Genomic DNA, 22,681 nt, shown 5'->3' with positions numbered 1-22,681 from the left:
TGTCCCCACCACTGGCAACCAGTCCTTGAATAACATCGCTGCAGAACTCACTGGCTCGTGGCTTCTGGGGTCAGGAATCCAAGTGTGGCTGAGCTGGCTCTCTGCTCAGAGACCTCACCAGCCACAGTCCTCTTGGCTCTGCTGGGGAAGGTCCCACGTCCAGGTACACCCATGTGGCCGTCGGAAGGATTCTGCTTCTATCCGTGGTTGGGCTGCCGCGCTTGGTCCTATGGCAGCTCCTCGCCGTGTGGGCCGCTCACGCATGGCAGCTGGCGGGTCAGAGCTCTGAGAACCAGGGTGGGAGCCGCAGAAGTCACGGCTGCTGTGACGTGACTGCAGAGGGGAAGCCAGCACTTGCGCCCCACTTTGCATCCGCTGTAAGTCACGCTGAAGGGCTGGCGCTGATGCGGGTGGTGCCTGGAGGTGGGGACCATCAGGAGCCATTTCAGAAGTGCCACCAGCCTGCCTCCAGGACTCCTGCCCTACGTGTCAGGCCATGTGACGTCGCCCCACAGCCCACGCCCAATGTGCTGCCTCCTTTATGTCTGTCTTTCCGTTTTTTCCTTTTTGTTTGTATGCGCTTTTCTTTCTTTTTCTCATCTGTTTCATCTCGGACGGTTTCCGTGGTTGTATCTGCAGCTTCACTGATCCTGTTTTCGCCATGTCTGATCTGGCATGGATCCGTCCCCCGTACTTGTTGTCTTCATCCTTAGAAGGTCAATTTGGCTCTTTTTTGTCCCTTTTATGTCTATCCTCAATTTTTTGGGCATATGGAGCAAAGTTACAGTGACTTAATGTGATCTGCCGCTTCTGACGTCAGGTCAGCCCTAGGTCTGTTTCACTCAGCTGATTTTCTCTTTGTTGAGTGCTGCGAGGCTGTGTGTGCATGTGTGCGTGTGCCTGTGCATGCACGTGTGTGTGTGTTCCTATAAATATTCGTGAGCTCTGTTCGGAGACACAGTTCAGGTACTTGGAAACAGCCTGGTTCTCTGGGTCTCGGTTTAGGAAATGTGAGGTGGGAGCAGGGCAGCGTCTGTCTGGGGCTCACACCGCCCCTTGCTGCGGGGTGTCCATCTCAGTGCTGTGCCCTGGAGCCGCCTAGTTCGCAGGCTTTCCCGCGAGGCTGCCGGAGACAGGCACTGGTCCAGCCCAGTGTGAGCTTCGGGTGCCATTTTCTGGGTTTTTCTCTCTAATGCTCCAGGTTTTCTCAGCCTCTCACTGAGCACTCCAGCGAACTCAGCCCTCCTCTGTGGCACTCTTTTCGGCGCCCTGGCTCCAGCTCCAGCCCTGTCCCTCAACTCGGGTCCCGCGAGGCCCTGCCTGGGCTGTGACTGTCTCCCCAGGCTCGCCCCGTCTCTCAGGGCCCGCCACCCTTCCTGACTGAAAACTGTTGTTTCACATTTGATGCCTCATATTCTGGCTGTTTCAGATGGCAGGTGCATCTGTCCTTGTGGCTCTGTCTCGGCCGGAAGCTGCCGGCCGCCCTCTGAGGTGGGAAAATAGGCATTTTGTCTCCATTTTACATTCAGGAAACTTCAGCTCAGAGAGACAAACTGATGGGCCCCGGGGCCCACAGCACATAAGAGGGGCAGCCTCACAGGAGGGCGGGCCTGCATCTCCGGCCCTCCTCACCCCGCATCCCCAGCATCACATTGCCCTAAGCGTGGCGCTCCACGAAACGTCACTGCCAGCAGCATGGGCCTCGCCTGGGTGGGAGGTGAGAAGGCGCAGAGGCCGCTGACGTCCTCTCCTGTTCTCATTCGGCTACATCTGGAAAGGGTGGTGCTGTCTAGCCCGGGCCCAGGAGGGGAGGACCCCACACCCGGGACGGGCTCAGGAGGGGAGGACCCCACACCCGGGACGGGCTCAGGAGGGGAGGACCCCACAGCCACGCAGGGCTCAGGAGGGGAGGCCCCCACACCCGGGACGGGCTCAGGAGGGGAGGCCCCCACACCCGGGCCGGGCTCAGGAGGGGAGGCCCCCACACCCGGGCGGGGCTCAGGAGGGGAGGACCCCACACCCGGGACGGGCTCAGGAGGGGAGGATGCCACACCCGGGACGGGCTCAGGAGGGGAGGCCCCCACACCCGGGACGGGCTCAGGAGGGGAGGACCCCACACCCGGGACGGGCTCAGGAGGGGAGGCCCCCACACCCGCGACGGGCTCAGGAGGGGAGGACCCCACACCCGCGACGGGCTCAGGAGGGGAGGACCCCACACCTGGGCGGGGCTCAGGGAGCCACTGGGCGAGGGCTGTGCTGCAGCTCCTCCCTCCTCACCCGTGTGCCTGATCTGAGCACCTGTCCTCCCTGCCCGCTGCGTCCCCTTTCTTCCCTTAACCTTCATTGTGTTCTGTGCTCCTGCTGCCCTCGGGGCCAGTCCCTGTCTTTTAACCCACACTCAGCCCCTTCTCCCACCTTCTCCATCCCCGCCACCTCCTCTAACTCATCCCTGTGGCCTCCATGCCCTTCCACGGCCCTTGGAGCCGCCCGTGGCGGATGCCACTCACAGCAGGGGCTGCGCAGGCCGCCCCACCCCGAGCCGGCGCCCCCACTCCCTCGGCTCCCCTCCGGCTGCGGCTGCAGGAGCAGCTGCGTGTGGCTGTAAAGCAGAACGCCCGTGTGCGAGGGGGAGCTGTATAAATAGAATAATAATAATAATAATTGTTGGTTTGGGATTTTTCTGCGACTGCTGGGGTGCCTGGCCTTGCCCGCCCCGCCAGTCACTCTTGAAGGAAAGGTCACCCTCGCCGGGAAGATAAACCCCAATAACGCTGGTATAATTAGCACAGGCAGTATTTAGATGCTTTCCTCGGTACAATTAGGCAGGAATAATTGGCTGAGCTATTTTCCCCGTGCCGGACACACTTTTTGCCAGCTTCCGTTCTTTGGAACTTCATGCCGGGACATTTGTTCTCGGCGTTCTGTCCAAGCTGTCCTGACCCAGTTGCCGCCAGGCCCTCAGCGCGGTGCTCACGCGGCAGCATCTGCGAGGCCTCTTTTGGGCCCGGCTGTGTCGTCTCCCCCGAGGGACGCCGGAGGGACAGTGGGGCAGAGAGGGGTGGGAGCTGAGGGTCGTGCACACAGCAGGGTGTCCTGGGGTCAAACCTGGACCTCTGGACCAGGAGCTCCGCGGAGCTGAGCTGGGCTGGGCCTGGAGCTGGAGGGCTTGTGCAGGGTGGGGCTGGGCCGGCCATGGGCATCCATGAGGGAGTGAGGCCATGAGCGGGGGAGTCAGGCATAGGCTGTAACAAGTCCTGTGGCCAGCCTGGAGGAGGAGGCCCTCGGCCGAGGTAATACACCAGCAGCGAGAAGCTTGCTCTCTCCCTCCTCAGAGCGCGGACGGGCCAGGCAGTGACTGTCAGGGCTCGGTGGTGGCTGCTGCTCCTGGATCACCTTCGGGCCGTGGATGTGCAGCAGGCAGGCTGGCCCCACAGCACCTGAGACTCCTGTGCAGAGCCCAGCTGTGAGTTGTGAGGCTGCCAGGAGTCCTCGGTATCCCGGTCTAACAGGTTGCGTAGACCACGGTAGCACCAGCCATTTTCACGCTGTACCCGGCAGGCTCAGCACGGTCTTGACGTTATCACGCCTGAACTTTGGGATACAGATCACTGCTGCCGAGGTCATGAAGCCAAGCTGGGGCCGCGCCGACCTCCAACCCTGGGGCTGGGACCGTGCTGGCCTCCAACCCCGCCTGGGGCTGGGACTGTGCCGACCGCCAACCCTGGGGCTGGGACTGTGCTCATCCCAGGGCTGGGACTATGCTGACCTCCAACCCCGGGGCTGGGACTGTGCTGACCTCTAACCCCCAGCAGCACCTGCTGGGATGAGAGCACACATTACCCAGGTTTATCACCTCTGGACCCTGATGCCATGGTCCAAGGCCTTCAGCCCCTGAGACGTTTTAGGGAAGGGAGGGCAGCCCTGGCCGTGGAGGCTCGTGCAGAGCTGTGTGCATGGTGAGACTGCCCAGCACTGTTCACAGGCGCTCAGACGGGCACCGCAAAGACCCGTGGACAGAGCTGTGCCCCACCTGGGATTTGCACAAGCCCAACCTGGGTGCCCTGGCCGCTGGGTGCCGAGGGGCTTGGGCCCGTGTCTCTCACACCTCAGCAGCAGCCCTATGACAGGTAGCCTCAGCGGACTCTGCTGTGGCCACCTGACCAGCGCCACCCACCCCAACCAGCTGGCTGGGCTCACGCTGTGACCCACGCCTGGCGTCTGTGGTGCCACCAGCCAAGATGCCAGCCATGACGCCAGCCTGGCACCCCAGGCCCAGGACATCTGGGGCAGGTGGGTGGGCAGCACCGGCCTCAGCAGCCCACAGAGGGGCCTCCCACAGAGTGTCTGGAGACACTCCAGGCAGACGGGCAGATGAGCAAGACGCCCGAGGGTTGCAGGCCAGGTGGATAAGGATTGGGGCTTGCATGTGTCCGCAGTGGGGAACCCGTGTGCTCAGCGGCCTGTCTTGAAGCTGTTCCGCTCTTGCAGATATAATTTAGATATACATTTTTCCTAATTACAAATATGCAGCATATAAAAAAATCTGGAAAATGCAGAGAACCATGAGTCACTTTCCGTCCCAGCACTCCGAGTTAACCGCCATTAACATTTTGATTTTCTAAGAGTCCTTTTGCACTCTGTGAGTGTGGGTGTGAGAGTGTGTGTCGTGCTGCAGTGTGAACTTGAAGGGTTTTCTCACCCCTGAAGTTCAGGGCTGACTCTCGGCGGACGCTGCTGAGTCTTCTCCCCGGCTCGCCCCATGTGTGCATGAAAGTGCCTGGGACGCGTCAGATTCTCAACTTGAGACGCCCGGAGAGTCTTTTGAAGTTGAAAACACTTTGATTTCCTGACAGCCTCAAGACAAAAAAAAATCTCCCCTTCGCTGGCTTTGAGAGCAGGTGTATTCTACAAGCGAGGTTCACAGGGACCTATGGCTGCCCCGGCAGATGCCATCCAGGCACGCCCCTCTCCTCTCCCGCGGGTCCTGGTGGGGGAGCCTCTGTGGGAAGCCTGGGGGCTCCGGGGCCTGGCAGACAACCAGTCCTGCTGCAGCGAGGTGGGGACAAGGCCGGGAGCAGCTCACTTCCCAGTAGAGGCCATCCGATGGCGCCAGGGCACGGGGCAGCTGCTGTCCTCATGGCCCGGGGTAACGTGGGCACAGGGTTTCCTCATCCCACTGTGCTCTGTGTCTCCCCTGAGCCCGGTGATTTTACGCACCTGACTTCGTTAGTCTTCTCGGCAATGCCCAGCGTGCAGACCAGGCTCAAGAGAGGTGTGTCGGTGTGCCCAGGGTCACGCAGCTTCCTGGTGGCCAAGCCGAGGTTAGAAGCTAGTTCTGGTGGGTGCGAAAGCCCCCGATGTCGGCAGCTCTGCCACCAGGCCCGCACAAGCAGGTGGTGTAAGAGGGGAGGCGTTGGGGCCGGCAGTGCTCAAGTCAGGATTGAGCCGTCTATCTGGAAGGTCTGTTGAGGGTGTGTGCTGGTGGCCGGGAGGTGGTGGCAGGCTGACTACCTGCCATTTTCCTGCAGTGCCTAGGCCCAGGAGAGGGAGCAGCCCCCGGTCAGGACCCAGCTGCAGGACACCCCATCCTCATGGACCTTGCTTCCCGCTCTCCGTCCCCCCACAAATGGGCTCCCAGCATAACTTCCCCCGAGGGCTCCTTTCCTCTCCCCACACAGAGCCCTGCTCCGGAGCGGCGCTTGCAGCACACCAATGACAGGAGGATTGGGCTTCAGGGAAGCAGGCGCCTGGAGCTGTGTCCAGTTAGGTGCGTGGCGCTTGCAGATCCAAGCATGAAATATTCATGCCTCCCCCGGCCCAGCAGCTGCGGCTTCTCATCTGGAACAAGGGGGTGCTTCTCCCAGGAAGGCCAGTGGGAGCAGGGGTGTGTCTGAGAATGCCTGGGCGCTCTGCCCTCACGATGGCCGCTGATGCCACAGGCCCGGCCTCTGTGCCCAGGCCACTCTCCAGCCTGGTGAGGTCTGTTCTGGGAAAAGAGAGAAGCAAGACAGATGTGGGCCTTGCCCTGTGGGGCCAGGGCACAGGCAGGAATCCCACTTGGGGTTAAGACGCTGCAGTCACCCCTCCAGGTGCCAGGGTCCCCTGTGGCCGTGGCGTTCTAGGAGAGATGGGCAGGGAGACGCTGGCGCCCTGTCGTGTAGCTTATCCTTGTATCTGCTTCACAGGCTCTTCCACTGTGCAATTTCCTAAAATTTTGGCGAGGCCCATTTATCCATTTTAATTTTATTCTGTGGATTGTGCTTTGGTGTTGAGTGTCAGAGCTCTGCCTCATCCAGATCCTGAAGATTTCTTTTTTAACATAATTCTGTGTTTTACATGTAAGTTCGTGATACAGTTTGAGTTAAATTTTATTTGAGATGTGAGGTTTCGGTCAAAAAAATTTTTTTTTAACTAAGTGTGTCCAGCTCCTCCGGCTCCAGCTGTAGCAAAGACAAGGCTGCCCTTCCTCCACTGAAGCGCCTTTGTGACTTTTCTGTGACTTTTCCGTATCGATTAATAGGGTCATATGTTGTTTATTCTTTAGCCTGTTGATATAGCAGATTACATTGATTGATTTTCAAATACCAAGCTAGCCTCGTACACCTAAACGAAGTCCCACTTGGTCACGGCATAATATTCTCTGTTAGAAAGTGGCCTGGACGCGTCTGTGGGTCTCTTTCGAGTTCCTCTGTTCTGTTCTGCTGGTCTCCACATCTCCCCTCCAGCGCTGCCCCAGCCATGTCTGTCTGACGTAGGAGCCGTATAACGCTGTGCTGTAGCTGTACGGTTCTCAACATCAGGAAGGGCAATTCCTCTACTCTTCTTTTTTGGAATTGCTTTCTATATACATTTTAGAATAATCTTGTGTCTCTCTACCAAAAAAAAAAAAAAAAAATGCTGGCCGGGCATGGTGGCTCACGCCTGTAATCCCAACACTTGGGGAAGCCAAGGCAAAAGGATCGCTTGAGCCCAGGAGTTGGGAGACCAGCCTGGGCAACACAGGGAGACCCCATCTCTATGAAAAAAATACAGCCATGAGTGGTGGTGCGCACCTGTAGTTACAGCTACTTGGCACGTTGAGGCAGGAAGATTGCCTGAGGCTGCAGTGAGCCAAGACCACACCACTGCACTCCAGCCTGGGTGACAGAATAAGACCCTCTTTCCAAAAAAAAAAAAAAAATATATATATATATGCTGAGGTTTGGACAGCAATTACCTTAAAACCAAAGATCAATTTTGGAAAAATTGATTTACTATAAGTCTTCCAGTTCATAAACATTGTATCTATTTATACAAACATTCTTTTTATTCCTTTCGATTCCTTTCATCAGTATTTCCTAACTTTCTGCAAACAGACACTATACAAGTTTTTGTTAGATGTATACCCGAGTATTTAAGATGTTCTGTAAATTATATTGCCTTTTAATTTTGTTTTTCACTTGTTTGCAATTGCTTTATAGAAATGTGGTTAATTTTTGTATGTTCATCTTATTTCCTGCAACCTTCGTGGACTCACTTAGTGTTCCAGGAGTTTTCTGCAGATTGCTCAGGATTTTCCACGTGGGCCGTCACGTCATTCTAGGAGTTTTCTGCAGATTGCTTAGGGTTTTCCACGTGTGCCGTCATGTGATTTCCGAGTAGGGACAGTTCTGTTCTTTTCCAATCCCTATGCTGCTGCTTTCCTTTTCTTACCTGCATGCCCTGGCGTGAGGAGCTCCCATGCTGGGTTGAGGATGAGTGGGGAAAGCCAGCTCTCCGCTGACCGAATGAGGGAAGGCGGCCAGACTCTTCCGTGAAGCAGCGTGAGCTGAGGGTTCTTCGTGGTGCTTTTTACCAAGTCGGAGGACTTTCCCTTGATTCCTGCTTTGCAAGAGTTCTTGTCAGGAATGGAGATTAAATTTTTTCAAATGCTTTGCCTGTGCCAATAGGATCATATCATTGTCTTCCTTTAGCCTGTTGATAGGGTGGATAACATTGATTGATTTTCAAATTTGAACTAGCCGTCGTTGTACACCTAAACTGAATCCCACTTGGTCAGGGTGTGATACTCTTTTTCGTGTGTTGCTGGATTCCATTTGTTAGTCCTTGTTGAGTATTTTTGCAGCTAAGCTCATGAGAGACTGATACTTATTTTTCTTTGTGTGCGCACCATCCTTGTTGGTTTCAGTACAGGGTTCATAGTGGAAAGGTGTTTCTCTGTCTTTTGTTAACTGAAAAAGGATTGTGTAAAATTGGTATTAATTCATATTTAATGTTCGGTAAAACTTTCTAGTGAAACCATCTGGGACTGGAGATTTTGAGTAGCATTTTAATTAGAACAAACTTGATTTATTTAATGGTTATAGGACTACCGAGGCTATTTTATCTTGGCACGTTTTGGTAGTATGTGGTTTTCGAGGAATCCATCCAGTTTGTTATGAGCATCAAGTTTTGTTGTAGTATTTTTTATTGTTATTTTAATAGCTTCTGGATCTATTATAATATTTCCATTTCATTTCTGATATTGGTCATTTCACTCTCCCCCCCCCCTTTTTTTTTTTTTGAGATGGAGTCTCGCTGTGTTGCTCAGGCTGGAGTGCAGTGGCACGATCTCGGCTCACTGCAAGCTCCGCCTCCTGGGTTCATGCCATTCTCCTGCCTCAGCCTCCCAAGGAGCTGGGACTACAGGCACCCGCCACCACACCCGGCTAATTTTTTGTATTTTTAGTAGAGATGGGGTTTCACTGTGTTAGCCAGGATGGTCTTGATCTCCTGACCTCGTGATCCGCCCACCTCGGCCTCCCAAAGTGCTGGGATTACAGGCGTTCCCCCTTTTTAATCTTTGTCAGTTTTGCCAGGGGTTTATCAATTTATCGTTGCTGGTCTTTCTAACAAATTTTTGAGACAGGGTTTCACTCTGTTGCCCAGGCTGGAGTGCAGTGGTGTGATCATAGCTCACTACAGCCTCAAACTCCTAGGCCCACGTGATCCCACATACCTGGGGCTACAGGTGTATGCCACCACACCTGGCTGATTGATTATAGGGATGGGGTCTCACTGTGTTGTCCAGGCTGGTCTCAAACTCCAGGGCTCAAGTGATCCTCTCACCTTGGCCTCCCAAAGTGCAAAGATTACAGGTGTGAGCCCTGCTCCTGGCCGGCCTTATTGCTATTTTTTAAAGAAGCAGTTTTTGGTTTTAATAACTTTTGTTTTCCTGTTCATTCCTACTTGTATTATTTCCTCCTCCTGCTTCGGGCTTGTTTTTCCCTTCGTTTCTTGAAGTAGGAATTTAGAGAAGCGATTTGAGATCTTTCTCCTTTCCTGATACAGGCATTGAGTGCTGTCCGTTTCCCTCTAAGCACTGCCTTGGGTGCGTCTGGCAAATTTCATTATGCTGTATTCTTGTTTCCATTCTGTTCTCTTTTTTATTTCCTTCGAGGCATCCCATTTGACTCGTGGATTACTTAGAAGTGTGCTGTTTAATTTCCAGGCACTTACAGTTTTCCTGTTGTCTTTCTCTGACTGGTTTCTGGTTTTGATGTCCACTGGTGTGGCCTCCACCTCTTCACGCCACCCCACAGATGAACAGCATTCACATAACTTCCCAGTATCTCGAAGTAGCATCGTTTCCATTTCCTGCGTGTCTTCTCATTTTACTGCATTATTTCAGCTTTCCTTGTTTGAGCCAGGATTCAGGGCTTCCTTCATTCCATCTCTAGCTTCCTCCCCTCGAGTTTCCCAGTTCATGGAGTTTCTCTTGGACCCTCAGCAGCAGGGGGTCTTGTTCTTGACAGGAATCCCTCACACTTCCCCCTTGGCCTCCGAGCCCCACCACATCCTGCGGTTGGTGGTGTGTGGAGAAAGTGGTGTGTGGAGAGAGTTGGTGGTGTGCGCTGTCTCTGCTCTCCAAGCCCTTTGTCAGCCCCCACCCCTCCCTCACTCCGTGCCTCTTGTCCGTGCCCGCTGGGACACCATGGGGCTCGGCTCAGGGGATGGTGGGACCAGCGCTTAGTAAGACTAGTCAGCCCTAGGCACCGAGTGAGCACTGCTCACGTGGCAGAGCTGGAATGGGGGCCGGGCACACAATCCCTGGCCCACGTGTTCCACGGACATGCTGCAGAGGTCCCCGGCCCTCCAGGGCAGGCCCTCTCTGCTTCCAGAGGGGCAGGTGAGCCCCAGGCCAGGCCAGCGAGGGTCTGGACTAGAGTGCAGTGGCCACAATGGACGCCGCGAGTGTCTTCATTAAGAGTGAGTGTCTCAGTCTCCCCCAGGGCGCCCGCCAGCCACAGGGCCGCTATGTGCGCAGACTAGACAGGTGGCAGCTCGGGCCGGCCAGGCAGAGGGAGAGGAAGCCAGAGCCTGCGCGCAGGCAGCCTCAGAAGTATTTCCAGCCACAGCCAACGTGTCTTACTGGCAATTTGCTTTTTAAAAAATTGCAGTTTAATTTTAAGTGAGCAGCCCGTAATTACAGTGATTTACGAGGTACCTGGGGACTGTGTGATATTTGAACATGGCAGAGGGCTGAGCAGCGATGGCAGAGATGGATGGGCCCGGCGCCACTCATTCAGCAGGTCCTGCTAATGCCGGAGCGTTAGACCGAGGTGGAGCCTCCCAATGTGGCTGGGTACGCTGGGGGAAACGGAGTCAGAGGTGGGCTGCACAGCAGGTCGACTTGTTCACCGGGGGCTGGTGTTTTGCAAACGCTGGGTCTGCCTTCGTGTGGGGTTTGAGCTGGGAGAGTAGCACTGGTTACTCCTGCCTGTCTCCGTCCACCCCCACCCCCACCTGGAGGGCAGCGCGGTATATTAGGGCATCATTCTTCCAGAGCCGCCTGAGGCCGGCAGAGAGGAGGTGCTGTAGGAGCCGTGAGTGGGTTGCCCGGCCTACCATTGGGAGCAGCTGTCTTGCTGACGCTGGCGGGGTGCACCTGTTTCAAATAAAGAATGATCAGAGCTCACGCCTGTAATCCTCACGTCGTGGGCAGCTGAGGCAGGAGGATCACGTCAGGCCAGGAGTTTGAGACCAGCCAGGCCAGGAGTTTGAGACCAGCCTGGGCAAAATAGCTAAAGTCTATCTATCTCTCAAAAAAATTTAAAAATTAGCCAGGTGTGCTGGCACATGCCTGTCATTCCAACTGCTCAGGAGGCTGAGGTGGATCACTTGAGTCCGGGAGCTCGAGGCTGAGTGACCCGTTATCATGCCACTGCACTCCAGCCTGGGTGACAGAGTGAGACTCGTCTCTAAAAAAAAATATTTTTAGAAATGAACGGCCAGGCTCCCAAAGCCTGCCAGCCTCTGAGGGCCGGGGAAGGCGGGTGCCTGGAAAACAGCTATTCTCTGGTCCAGCCTGGCCAGAGTCTGCACCACAGTGCGTCAGGCCCAGCCAGGTTGCCAGCCCTGGGTTGGGAGGAGGGCGAAGGGCCGGCTGAGGAGACTTCTTCCCACACTGCCTCCCCACCCCTGCCCGGCAGCTGCAGGAGAATCAGCCCCTCTGACATTTAGGGGGAGAAATTCAGAATCAAGAGCAGAAGGCAGAAGTGAAAGGATTTTCTCAGCGAAAGGTCAGAGTGGTTTCTCTTGTTTTTGTTTAAAAATGGTTTGTGTTGAACTATGACAAGGCCAAATGTACTAAGGCAGCAGAAACAGGGGGAGGGCAGGGGGAGGGCACGGGGACGGCTCCTGAGAAACAGGAGGTGCAGGAACAGGTCAGGTCGCAGGGCCTCTGGGGCAGCACGTGCTCCAAAGGTGGTGAGGGGAGGGGCGACACCATCAGGGCGGGGCCCAGCCCAGGCATGCTCCGGTGGACAGGGGAGCTGCCAGGACCAAGCTGGATGGAGCCAGGCCGCCCTGTGGCTCCTGGGGAGGGTTCCCAGAGGGCTGCCGGGCGGAGGGAGCGCTTTCCAAAACGGTTTCCTGAGCTCCGATGCACACACATGCAGCTCACCCTCACGTCTAGCGCTCCATTAGTCTACCGTTCCGTTCCTCCCGGCACATTCAGTGCGCAGCCGCGACCAGTCTAACCGTGGCACATTTCCACTGGCCCTGAGCCCTGACGTGCCCCTCCAGGACATCCCCTGGGCACGGAGTTGTGTCGACAGGTCTCTGTGACTGGCTGGGCGTGTTTTCGGGGTTTGCCCGCGTGGCAGCGTGTATCAGAGTTCGGCTGTACGAAGCGGTGTTGACGGGTAAACCCGGTTTTGTGTCTCCCTCCGGCGGTTGAGGGCTGGTTCCGCGTTCCATCTGTTGGTGATGGGATCGTGTTGCCGTGGACACCCGTGCCGAGGTCTGTGCGTGGACTGCGCTCAGACCCCCTGGCTGCGCGCCCGGGCGGGTGCTGGGCCCATGGACTCTGCGTCCAGCTCTTTGAGGAGCTGCCGGCTGTTTGCAGTGGCCGCACCACACACGCTCCCGCCAGCGACGCGGAGGGTCTGATTCCCCTCGACCCAGCAGCTCATGGTGGTTGCTCTCAGTGGCCGTCGGCGCGAGGCGGCTCCGTGTCTCGCTCAGTTGCGGTTCACGTTTCCCCGGTGCCCAGCGTCCTGGCATGAGCTCATTGGCCGTGTGTGGCTCTTCTCTGGAGAAATGTTCAAGGGCCCCTTGTTTAATTGGCTCTTTCCTCTTCATGGTGGAGTTGTGGGAGTTCTGGGCATATTCTGGGTACAGGACTTTTCAGGGACGTGGTTTCAGAGGGAGCTTTGTGGTGGGCCGGGTTTGTGTCCTGCCTGACCTGGGGCTGTGTGGGTGCTGACCGGGGTGGGGCTGGCTCTCGGGGGCAGCTCAGAAGGGCCTCTGTCCACTCCCCACACAGCCCAGGACCGTGGCACAGCAGCTTGCTCAGACCTGCTGTGTGACTCCTGCCCTGTGTCCCCTGGGGCCTGCAGCGCTGTCTGGAAGCTCCTCCTTGCCCGTTCTCCAGTTACAGGAGGCCGCCCTCTGGGCTGCAGAATCCACAGAGCCAGACTCCCCCTGGGCCCCCAGCGCCCCCCTGCACAAGTGGGGAAACTAGGTCATGGGGCCCAGGCAGTGTGGAAGGCGTTGCAGGACTTGCCCAGGGCGTGGGGTCCTCCAGCCTCAGTGAAGAGTGGCACTAGGGCCTGGCACAGGTGCTGGAGCCCCCCAGGTGGAGGAAGGAGCAAGGTGGCAGCCCCTTGGGTGGGCACACCCCACAGTGCCTGGGACCCCCAACTGCCTGGGTAGATGACAGTGTAGACAACAGAGACCTTGCCCTGGGTTAATTCAGTCCCTTTAGGTGACCTGGAATAAGGCCTGGCAGGGTTGAGGACGCATCTACCCCTGTCCAGGTCCTCAGACTGAGGGAAGCCCCCATGGCTGGAGGGGCTGTGTAGGGAGGGAGGGGAGAGGGAGAGGCCTGTCGGGCTGACCGCTGTCTTGTCTCTTTCTTGACTGCCCCGCAGGCCACCAGCCCCTCGGGTTCCAAGATGCAGCTACTGGAGACAGAGTTCTCACACACCGTGGGCGAGCTCATCGAGGTGCACCTGCGGCGCCAGGACAGCATCCCTGCCTTCCTCAGCTCGCTCACCCTCGAGCTCTTCAGCCGCCAGACCGTGGCGTAGCCTGCAGGCTCGGGGGCATAGCCGGAGCCACTCTGCTTGGCCTGACCTGCAGGTCCCCTGCCCCGCCAGCCACAGGCTGGGTGCACGTCCTGCCTCTCCAGCCCCACAGGGCAGCAGCATGACTGACAGACACGCTGGGACCTACGTCGGGCTTCCTGCTGGGGCGGCCAGCACCCTCTCCACGTGCAGACCCCATGCGTCCCGGAGCCTGGTGTGTGGGCGTCGGCCACCAGCCTGGGTTCCTCACCTTGTGAAATAAAATCTTCTCCCCTAGACACTCCCACTCGCCCTGTGTATCTGTGGCCTAGCCCTAGCAGGGTGGGCGGGAGGAGGGGAAGGAGCTCCCTCAGCAGCCGCCGCCATCTGCAGCCCGGACAACGTTAGGGTGAGTCAGGCATCTCTGCTCAGGGAGTGCACAGGTGGCAGCTGGGACCAAGGGTGGCTGGGGTGCCCTCCCCACCACCATGGGCTGAGGCCCCTCCGCGTAGCAGCTTCCAGCTCTGCCTCAAGGCCGGGCCCCAGCTCCAGGACTTCCCTTTGCTGATGGAACCCGGATGGAGGCACAGGGGCTGGGGGGACTGTCCTCACAGATAAGGGTGCATCGAGGGGAGACTGCCCTCTGTGCCCATCTCTCCAGGGCCAAGAGAGGGCCTGGACCCGGCTGGCAGCACCAAACCCAGGGGTGTGGGGTGGCTCCGCCCCATGGGGCAGATGGAGCATCTGGCCCTGGAGGCTGGAGAGCGAGTCCCCTCCTCCCAACTCGGCGGCCCCGGCCTTCTCCAGCCATGGGGAATATGAGCCGATGATTCAGAGGTGCAGCTGCCGCTATCTGAGCCCAGCAGAGGGGAGCTGGTGCAGCCAGGGGAACGGCCTTGCTCCAGAGCCTCCAATGCTGAGACGGAGGGAGACCCATGGTGGGGGCGGGGGCAGGGGGAGGAAGGAGCAGGGAGGCGTGGACCCTGCCACCTGCCTGCGAACTGTGGGCCTGGGCCAGGGCCACGCCCGGGACTGCCGCCTCCACCCAGACTCCTCAAAGGTGGGGCAGCTCCGGCTCTGCCACCCCCGCCTCACGTCCCACTTCCCACTCCCAGCAACCCCCCCCCCCCCCCGCCCACCATTAGAACACTCCGTCAGGTTCCACAAACCCTTCATGAAAGCCCTTTTCCTCCAGGTCTCAGGGGAAAGTTGGGGGGCCGTCCACTAAGAGGCCCACTGGGAGAGACGGATGTGTTGTGTCCCCCAGCCTCGAGACAGGAAGCCCCTGATTCCTCCTGCGTGTCCTCTCCCTACCCCCCAATGTCACCTTTCAGTGTTGGCTTCTGTTCCTGGGCGCAAGGGGTTTGACGGAGGGGTCCTCGGAGGCCCATGGGGTTCAGCTTCACGAGGCTTTGTGCGGGACGCAGGCTGTGCAGACAAGAGAAGTGAGATGTCTCCATGTCACGTGAAGGTTGTTCTGCCCTGGCTCGGCCCCTGGACACACATGTGCCTCAGACAGACACACAGCCCCGCCAGAGCTGGGCAACCACTGGCTCTCACACTGAAACCCGGAGTCCCAGACTGTTCGGCCCCATCGCAGCCCTGGGGTGGCCACAGCCCCATGTCTCAGCTGAGCACAGCGGGGCCCACACAGGATGCTGCTCCCACAGCCACAGATAATCAGAACGGGGCCCTGGTCTAGCCTTTGGGCTGTCCTCTGCCAATACCCCCCAGGTCAATCCCAGGGTCCTGGCACCCCAGCCCCCACCACCCTGCTTTCCCCATCACCATTCCTGCCGTGCCACAGCCTGAGAGCCGAGGTGCCTGCCTCCACCCACCCTTTCACCGCCAGCAGCCCCGGTGACGGCCCCCACACACACTCATGGACCTGGGGCTTCTGGGACCGAGCCCCACTCAGCTGGCCCTTCAGGACCAGGGAGCCAGCACCACCCTGGCTGTGAACACAGAGGGACAGGGGCCGGTTCTTGTCAAGGCAATTTAGGAGATGGGGTCCGACTGGACCCTGAAGGCGGATGGGACCCCACCAGGTAGGAAGCGGGGATAGGGTGGGCCCAGAGGCTGGAGGTCAGGGGCCATCCTGGGGGAGGACAGAGGGCTGAGCCCTCAGGCAGAACAGAAGCCCGCAGCCTCTGCCCCAGGGGCAGCAGGGGGAGTGGTCCCTGGTGGGCGACAGCCGGGTCCAGGTCCAGGCAGGAGCCCCCCCAAAGGTGGTGGTCTTGATTGCAAGGCCAGAGCTAAACTCCAGCCAGCCCAGGTGGGAATGGAACTTACCAGGAGGATTTGGGGCAGAGGCTGAGAAAATGGAGAGTGGGGAGGTGGGCTCAGCCTCAGGAGGCACTGGCACGGCTCCCCCCGTGGACACACACCCCACTGACTCCCGCGGTGGACACACACCCCACTGACTCCCCCGGTGGACACACACCCCACGGCTCCCCCGGTGGACACACACCCCACTGACTCCCCCGGTGGACACACACCCCTCAGCTCCGGGACCCTGGGACCACTGGCTCTGCCATCACCGATGCATAACCTGGTGGCTGAGGAGCAATGGTCACGGCCTCCAACCACACCAGAAAAACCGCAGCAGGGGTTCCCACAGCCACAGACCCTCATGGCCACAGGACTCCACCCACTGTCCCCAAGCCCTTGTGTCACCTTCCCAAGATCTGAGGCTGCTGAACCTTCTGGTTGCTGCAGCCTGGGCCACGGCCCACACCTGCCTTCCACCCCGGCTTCTGTGGCATCAAGACGGGCTTGGCAGCTAAAGGGCCACAAACAAGCCCCCTGTCCCCAGGTGCAATCTCAAGTCTGCATCTGGACCCGGGGCGCCTTCCTGACTTGGTCTCCCCTTCCCCGTCCACATCCGCATCCGGACCAGGGGTACCCTCCTGCCTTGGTCTCCCCTTCCCCCTCCACAGCCAGGGATCTCCAAAGCACCTTCCTTTCGGGGAGCCCGGGGCCGGCACCTCCCCTGCCGGCTCCCCGGGAGGGTCTACAAGAGGCTGGGCCCCCCAGCCAGCGCTGAGATGCACCAGCTCCGGCCGGCAGGCGGCTCTGCTCTGATCATGGGATTTTCCTTTCCCCGGGAAGAGGCAGAGGCGGGGCTGGAGCAGCCCTCACACCCCCAAGGGACGTGTCTGGGTGGGCTGGAGAGAGCAGAGGTCTCTGATAACATGTGTCCCTTGCGGGCTGATTTAATAAACCTTCCCCACGAGTTTGTCAAATCCTCTTCACGCGTCTGCCAGGTGGAATGGGAAAGAAACAGCGTGTGAGGACCCCAGGAGGCGCCACCGGTCCCCTGTCCCTGCCCAGCCCTGGCTGCCGGGCCAGAGAAAGTTCTGGTTCTGGCAGATTCCCCGCTTCCCCCCAGCTCCTTAGTGGGCACCCAACGCTAAATGGTTCTTAAGCCGCTAATGACTAATTTTAAGGGATTAGTGCTACAGCAATCAACTGTAATTGCCAGGATGTAACAGGATTTGGGGGGCCCCAGGGCTCCCTCCAGCCTCCCGGCAGGCTGGAGAGGACAGTGCCACCTGCCGGGGCCTCTGAGGGATCAACCTCCCTCCCTCCCTCCCACTGCACCTGGCACCGGGCAGCCAGCACAAGACCATTGCAGGGTTAGTCTGTCTCTTTCCTTCCCACAGACAACTCGTGCAAGTTTTGGAGAAATCCCTGGGTTTTCTGCAGCCCCTCACTTCTCAGAGTGGGGTCCCTGGAAGCACCTGAGAAAGGCAGGTCCTCAGGTCCTGCCTGGAGCAACTGTGAGAATCTACCTTTAACAAGTCTCTCCCGCAGCTCGTACACACAGAGGCTCTCATCGGCTTGGAACTTGCCAATTGGCAATGCTCATCCTCATCCCATACTGATCCTGCAAGTCTGGTCTTGTCAGGAGAGGAGACCTCAGTGCAGAAAGCCAGGGACTGGCCCACCAACGCCTCCTGCAAGTCTGTGTTGGGCAGGGACTCAAACCCTGCTCTCTTGACTGCAAATTCAGCTGCCCCTCCAGGCCCCAGCGTCTGAGTTAAACTTGGCCCATTGCCCTCCTGTTAAAATGTCACCAGGACACCATGGGCAGGCGAGGGCTGGGACCTTCATCCAGAGACAGCATTGGAGGGAGACTCAGAGGTCCAGGGGCTCAGAACCTCGGGCTATACATACAGGAGTGTGTTTACAGGCATGTACATGCAGAGGTGTGGGCATGCACCACTGCCACTCCTGGACACATGACCCGTGTACACGTGCACATATAGGCATGTGCAGTGCATGTCCCCAGGCTTGGTTTGTGTGTATACATGTGCCGTGTGTGTGCATAACTGCATTTGTGTATTGGTGTGTGGCCCTGTGTGCACATGTGTATGTACAGATGTGTGTACGTGCATGTATCCCTGTATGGTTTGTGTACATGAGCATGTGTGTACATGTGATGTGTGCATGTGTGACCACGTGTATTGGTGTGTCATATGTGCACATAGGTGCATATGTGCTCCTGTGTGCAAGCATGACTTCACATGTGCGTACTGGTGTGGGCCATGTGTACACGTGTTCATGTGTGCACACATGACTGCATGTGTGTTGGTGCATAGCCATGTGTGCACATGGTTGCATGTGTGTGCACCTGAGGACAGGCGGCTTCACCAGAATGCTTAAATCGCTGCTTGCGGCCCAGAGAGGAGGAGTTCCCTGTCCGAAGTCGCACAGTGAGAGACGGCCGGCAAGGAGGCGCCAGGAGCCCGGTCCAGACATCAGCTGGCCCAGCCTGGCAGTCTCGTTTTGTTTTATGTTTTCTTTAACTGCACAATTCAAATACATTTTTAACACTAAAACAAAACAAAGTTCCCTCCAACAATATGAGAGGAACGTAGAGTGAAAAGGAGAAGTCCCTTCTGGCCCCCATCCCAGACTCTCCCGCCTGTGGGTGGATGTGCACACCTACCATATGGACACACGAAAACACACGGTTCTGCCTCCCTGGGTGGTCTGTGTGCTTTTAAAATCCCTACGTATTGTTCCGCAGCTTGCTTTTTCTCACTTCACAATATGTCTTGGAAATTTTCCATAGACGCGTGTACTGATCTGTTTCACTGGATTTTGCTGTTGTTGCCAACACTCTCAAGAAATTTTATTGAAAACGGTGACACACAGAAACACCAGATTCTCATTTTAAAGTAAAACTGACAGCATTTTTCAGAACTTCCATAGTTCTGAACCATTTGTGTCACTATCTTTCAAAGCAAAACAAAACACCGAGTCCCAGATCCCAACGAGCAGAGGTGGCCCTCTGAGAGCCACGGGGAGAGGCTCCGGGGAAACAGGCCCTGCCGATTGATGTCCTGATCTTGGACCTGGGCCCCCAGAACCTCGAGAAAGAACTGGTGCGGCGGAGGCCGCCCCGGCGGGTCGTAGTCTGGGGTTTGTTTACAGCGGCAGGAGCTGCCCAATTGATCCTTACCCATGAGTAAGCCCTCCCTTCCCCTCATCTCCTGAGCCAGCTCTATCCTTTCTTCCGGCGTTCCCCACTACCTGGCGTTTTGTTCAATGCATAGTTTATTTTTGATAGACATAGACTGCACATCTGTTCCAGCAGATACAGTCATGTTTCAGACAGATTAGCGTCCTCACAGAACAGCGCTAATAGAGACGCCACGCGAACCGCATACGTAACTTGACATTTTTTAGTAGCCACGTTAAATAGTAAGCAGAAGCCAGTGAAATTAATGTTAGCAAATACACCTCTAACCCAATCTATCCAACATGGCATCGTGTCGACGTGTGACCAATGCGAACGGTGAATGGGACCTTCCACAGTCGGCTTTGGTCTCGGGGATCCCGCTGGATTTTCCACTTGTCCCTCTCGGTTGGGCCCAGCCACCCCGGGCGCCCCTGGCTCTGGCGTGTCACCCCCGTGGGGAAGGAGGGGCCTTGTCACGTTCACCGAGGGAGCTGGCGCCTGACAGTCCTGGCTCACACCGGTGCACAGGTGTGTGCGGGTGAATCCATGCTGCGTGGTGACAGGTGATGTTGTGCTGTGTCCCTACTCGACTAATGAGAAAACTGGAACCAGAGAACAGGGGAAGCGGCTGTCCCAGCTCTGGTGTCGCTGGGCACGGGCGGAGGCGGTGGCAGAGCCAGGCCTGGCTCCCTCCTGGGCAGAGGGACAGAGGTGAGCAGTGAGCACTGCCCACCAAGGACCGGGGACCTGGAGCTCATGGCCCCTCAGCTTCCTCTGAGCACCCCCTCCTCCCAGACGGAGCCAGGGGCTGGGCAGCCAGGCGCACCCCGGCCGGGACATCAGGAGGCCTCAGTTGAATGCTGGCTCAGCCCAGCCTGCGGGATGGTCGTGGGCAAGGGTCCTCCCCTCCCTGGGCCTCAGTCTTCGCATCTGGAAAACGGACCACATGACCTGCCAGGGGTGTCCACCTGGCCCAGCACCCAGCCCAGGTAGGGGACACCCCAGGGCGCAGTATGTGGCCTCTTCAGCATAACACTATAATTAGCCCAATTACCCACCGCTTTCATGCTTTTTTTTAATTTAAAATGGAAATTAAATTTTGCAGCAGGTTTACAGGCTGTTAACGGAATTCGCTAATCAAACCCAACACCAAGTCCTCGAAAATGAGAATTCAAAAAGGTCTATATTTGCATATTCATGTTTTTAATAGGGTTCAGAAGGTATATTTGCAGCTGATGAAAGGATTAATTAAATCTATTTGCATTGGTGAAGCATTTTAACCCCTTCAGAGCTGGCCGGAGAGGGGAAGGCCCTGAGGCCCAGTGGTAAACGAAGCCTCAGGCGGACGGCTAGAGGTGCTGCTCCTGCCGCCCCTTCCTGGGGCCACCCATCTGGCAGGGAGCCTCCCCCCGAGCCCAGTATGGCAGGGCTGAGTGGGCCCCAGACCTGGAGCCTTCACAGCTGCCCCATGGCAGCCCTGTGACAGGAGATGGCTTCAGGAGTTTTTACTTTAAAAACAAACATACACTAGAATTTTGGTTTTTTATAACATTCATACTCAGTCACTGTAACATATTTAGAAAATGTGGGAAAGTCTCAAGAAAAAAAGAAAGTCACTGAAGTCCGGGTGCGGTGGCTCATACCTGTAATCCCAGCACTTTGGGAGGCTGAGGCCGGCGGATCACCTAAGGTCGGGAGTTCAAGACCAGCCTGACCAACATGGAGAAACCCCATCTCTACTAAAAATACAAAATTAGGCAGTCGTGGTGGCGCACACCTGTAGTCCCAGCTACTCGGGAGCCTGAGGCAGGAGAATCGCTTGAACCCAGGAGGCAGAGGTTGCGGTGAGCCAAGATCATGCCATTGCACTCCAGCCTGAACAACAGAGCGAGACTCCATCTCAAAAAGTCACTTAAACACGCCCACTCAGCAATGCTCCTGGAGGCTCTTGTCTTCCCACCCCTCCTCCGTGTACGTGTGTTGTGTGAGTGCTCATGTGTACATGTGAGTGTGCACACACGTGTTGTGTGCACGTGTGTGTTGTGAGTGTGCACACATACCTGTGTGTTGTCTGCATGCACACGCACACACAGGCAGAAGCACCCCTGGGACCCGCAGCTCTCACATATATGTCCTCATCAAGGTCTCACTTGCACACCAGGTGGACGCTCTGCAGGTGGGACCACCCTCCTCTGACGCAGCCCTGCATGACCCCATGAGGGCCACCCCACAGCTGCTCAGAGCCCTGGTGCAGTCGGGGGCCCTGGTCACCTTTTTCATGGATGTGTGGGGTGAGGACGGGTGCGGTGCCCTCCCCTAACACCCCAGAATCTTCAGGAAGGGGGTATCTTGGCAGCTTTCACAGCTCGCATCCAAGTGGGCTCTAGGTACAGACACTGGAGTTATACAGACACTGGAGTTATACATGCAACACACGCCTGGAGACACACAACAGAAATGCCCAGAACATGTGGACACGGGCAGCTACATACATCACGTGTGCGTCGTGTCACACACAAGCAGCTACAGACATCACGTGTGCGCCGTGTCATATAGACAGTTACAGTCATGTGAGCGCTGTGTCATATAGACAGTTACAGACATCACGTGTGCACCGTGTCACAGACAAGCAGCTACAGACATCACGTGTGCACCGTGTCATATAGACAAGCAGTTACATCATGTGTGCGCCGTGTCATATAGACAAGCAGCTACAGACATCACGTGTGCACTGTGTCATATAGACAGTTACAGTCATCATGTGTGCACCGTGTCATATAGACAAGCAGCTACACAGATGGAGCTGCCAAATTCGGGAATCGCTAACAGGAGCCACTCCCATCATTAAACCCAAGTTGTTTAAATACTGTTTTTTGACAATACACATAGAAATATATATATATATACACACACACACGTTTATATATGTCTACGGAGAAATATGTACTATATATTTAAATATATACACACGGAAATGTATACATATATACACATATTTTTTTTTTTTGAGACGGAGTCTCACTCTGTCACCCAGGCTGAAGTGCGGTGGCGCAATCTCGACTCACTGCAACCTCCGCCTCCCAGGTTCAAGCGATTCTCCTGCCTCAGCCTCCTGAGTAGCTGGGATTACAGGCGCCCGCCACTACGCCCAGCTAATTTTTTTGTTTTTAGTAGAGACGGGGTTTCACCATGTTGGTCAGGCTAGTCTGAAACTCCAGACCTCGTGATCCACCCGCCTCAGCCTCCCAAAGTGCTGGGATTACAGGCGTGAACCACCGCACCTGGCCCACACATTTTTTTCTTTTTGAGACAGGGTCTCACTATTGCCCAGGCTGGAGGGCAGTGGCATGATCATAGCTCATTGAAACCTCCACCTCCCAGGCTCAAGCAATCCTCACACTTCAGCCTCCCGAGTAGCTGGGAACGCAGGCACCCACCACCACGTCTGACTGATTTTTTGTATTTTTGGTAGAGACGGGGTTTCGCCACGTTGCCCAGGCTGGTCTCGAACTCCTGACCTCAGGTGATCCTCCAGTCTCGGCCTCCAAAGTGCTGAAATTACAGGAGTGAGACAGCACACCTGGCCTATGCACACATATTTATACATATATTTATATCTACACAGATAAATATCTCAATATGTACACATTTCTACAGACAATATATACCATATTTATGAAGA

General features: G+C 56.7%; 1 protein-coding gene across 6 annotated transcripts in view, besides 3 other annotated features; it reads left to right on the top strand.

Moving 5' to 3' along the window:
* Positions 1 to 13,828, top strand: part of MAD1L1 (mitotic arrest deficient 1 like 1) — a 417,151-nt gene extending 403,323 nt beyond the window's left edge. For all 6 annotated transcript variants that reach the window (NM_001304524.2, NM_001304523.2, NM_001013837.2 and 3 more), the window contains one exon: positions 13,395 to 13,828. In NM_001304524.2, the coding sequence (NP_001291453.1) occupies positions 13,395 to 13,553 (159 nt within the window). In that variant the 3' untranslated portion in view covers positions 13,554 to 13,828. The remainder of the gene's footprint in view (positions 1 to 13,394) is intronic.
* Positions 16,017 to 16,592: an enhancer, noted in NCBI's record as "H3K4me1 hESC enhancer chr7:1852667-1853242 (GRCh37/hg19 assembly coordinates)". NCBI's record gives its function as "activates a minimal SCP1, AML or CMV promoter by ChIP-STARR-seq in primed H9 embryonic stem cells {active_cell/tissue: H9 hESC(primed)}" and the evidence as "EXISTENCE:reporter gene assay evidence [ECO:0000049][PMID:30033119]".
* Positions 20,647 to 21,146: an enhancer, noted in NCBI's record as "H3K4me1 hESC enhancer chr7:1848113-1848612 (GRCh37/hg19 assembly coordinates)". NCBI's record gives its function as "activates a minimal SCP1, AML or CMV promoter by ChIP-STARR-seq in naive H9 embryonic stem cells {active_cell/tissue: H9 hESC(naive)}" and the evidence as "EXISTENCE:reporter gene assay evidence [ECO:0000049][PMID:30033119]".
* Positions 21,147 to 21,648: an enhancer, noted in NCBI's record as "H3K4me1 hESC enhancer chr7:1847611-1848112 (GRCh37/hg19 assembly coordinates)". NCBI's record gives its function as "activates a minimal SCP1, AML or CMV promoter by ChIP-STARR-seq in naive H9 embryonic stem cells {active_cell/tissue: H9 hESC(naive)}" and the evidence as "EXISTENCE:reporter gene assay evidence [ECO:0000049][PMID:30033119]".

Source organism: Homo sapiens, chromosome 7 (assembly GCF_000001405.40).
Source record: "Homo sapiens chromosome 7, GRCh38.p14 Primary Assembly".
Lineage (NCBI taxonomy): Eukaryota > Metazoa > Chordata > Mammalia > Primates > Hominidae > Homo > Homo sapiens.
This window is presented reverse-complemented; position numbering and strand designations above follow the sequence as displayed.